Source organism: Homo sapiens, chromosome 9 (genome assembly GCF_000001405.40).
Source record: "Homo sapiens chromosome 9, GRCh38.p14 Primary Assembly".
In the NCBI taxonomy this organism is placed as follows: domain Eukaryota; kingdom Metazoa; phylum Chordata; class Mammalia; order Primates; family Hominidae; genus Homo; species Homo sapiens.
The window spans coordinates 136,772,867-136,774,579 of NC_000009.12; the positions used below are offsets into that span (position 1 = coordinate 136,772,867).

Genomic DNA, 1,713 nt, shown 5'->3' on the forward strand with positions numbered 1-1,713 from the left:
ACAAAAAATACAAAAATTAGCCTAGCATGGTGGTGTGCACCTGTAGTCCCAGCTACTCAGAAGGCTGAGGTTGGAGGATGACTTGAGCCCAGGAGGTGGAGGTTGCAGTGAGCCGAGATGGCACCACTGCACTCCAGCCTGGGTGATAGACCTTGTCAAAAAAAAAAAAAAAAAAAAAAGAAGTGGCCTATGAGCACAGACATCTCAGACATCTGGGCACCAGCAAGTCTGAGGAGGTTGGGAACTTCTTTGTCCTTAGTCAGGTCGCAATGCTTTTACACATATTTAATAAAATATTGTTAGTTGTTTATATACTTTCAACCTCAGAGTTAGTTTTTAAAACTACATGATTACTGTTTTTCCATATTATCTCAGTGCTCCGAAATTATCCTAGCCTACGTGCAGGATGGGTAAAGGCCCCTTGAACACAAACGGAGTGAGTTATGTTAGTTCTACTGTTTTACTGTTATACTTTGGCCAATTGAATACAGTGGAAGGGATGCTGTGCCAGTTCGGGAGTGGCCTGGAAACTGCTGGAAACTGCTAAACTGGCCTGGAGACTGCTACTTCCTGTGTCTTCGAAGTCCACTGGCACATGAGAAGTACAACTGCTCAGAGGCAGCCATGTTGAAAGGAAGCCCAAGCAGCCACATGAACACCCTGGTTTACAGGCCAGCAGATCCCCCAGCAACAGCCATCATTAGCTGCCAGCTACTTCCTGCAACAATGTGATCCTAGATTCAGCAAAACAAAACAAATCCTGTTGCTGGTTTCTCCTGCTCAGGCCTGGAGGCATCCAGACCTCACCAGAACAGACACACAATATAGTGGAACTGATGTGTAGACGCAGTCAACACACAAGAACAACCATCACCCGGGGAGTCAACCCTGACCCCAGGGCGGGGGAGACCAGAAACTCTCTCCCATGTCCTCTCTCCCCTCGGCCTCAGGAGGGACCCATGTGGGCACTGGCATCCAGGATGAAGACTACACTTCCCAGCATCCCTTGCAGCAAGCAGTGGCCATGTGACCAGGCTGTGGCCAATGGGGAGGCGAGGCCTGTGCACAGCGGCTGCCTTTAGAGGAAGGAAGTTTTGTGCCCTGTTGTCCCCTTCTCCTCTCCCTGCTGGCTGGCAGGAGACAGGGTGGACTCTCAGGGGGAAGCTACACCCTAAGGAAGTCAGAACAGCAAGATGGAAGGAGGCTAAGACCCTAAAAACTGCATAGAGAAGAATCTCCCGACTGCCTTGGACTTTCATGTGAAGGGAATGAACCTCTGTCTTAGTTAAGCCACCGTGATTCAGGGTCCTTGTCACATTCACCGAGGCTGTAACCTAATTGGTAGAAAGAACAGGAGCGGGAGGGGAGATGGAGTCAGAGAGGCAGGCAGAGGTCAGATCACATCAGGCCTGCAGGTCAAGATGGAGGAAGAAACAGGCAACATAGGACTCAAGGACCACACCTGCTCCCAGGTGAAGGGATTTTGCCGTGGGTGCCCCTCCCTGTCTGCTGGAGAAAGCTAATTTGACCCACTTCCCTTTAGGACTTTGCAAGATGCACATCACAGTCACAGGTACTTGTCTCCTAACAGTCCTTTCAGGGGAACTGCCCCACCCCTAATTAACCCAGCCTCAGGTATTCCTTTATAGCAATGCAGGTGGACTGACACATATCTTTAGTGTCGTGAGACTGTGACAAGAGCAGGAAAGAATC

General features: G+C 49.9%; 1 annotated feature.

Annotated features, from left to right (window-relative positions):
- Positions 891-1,185: an enhancer, noted in NCBI's record as "tiled region #7361; HepG2 Activating non-DNase unmatched - State 4:PromP, and K562 Activating DNase unmatched - State 8:EnhW". NCBI's record gives its function as "activates a minimal TATA promoter and a strong SV40 promoter by Sharpr-MPRA in HepG2 and K562 cells {active_cell/tissue: HepG2 | K562}" and the evidence as "EXISTENCE:reporter gene assay evidence [ECO:0000049][PMID:27701403]".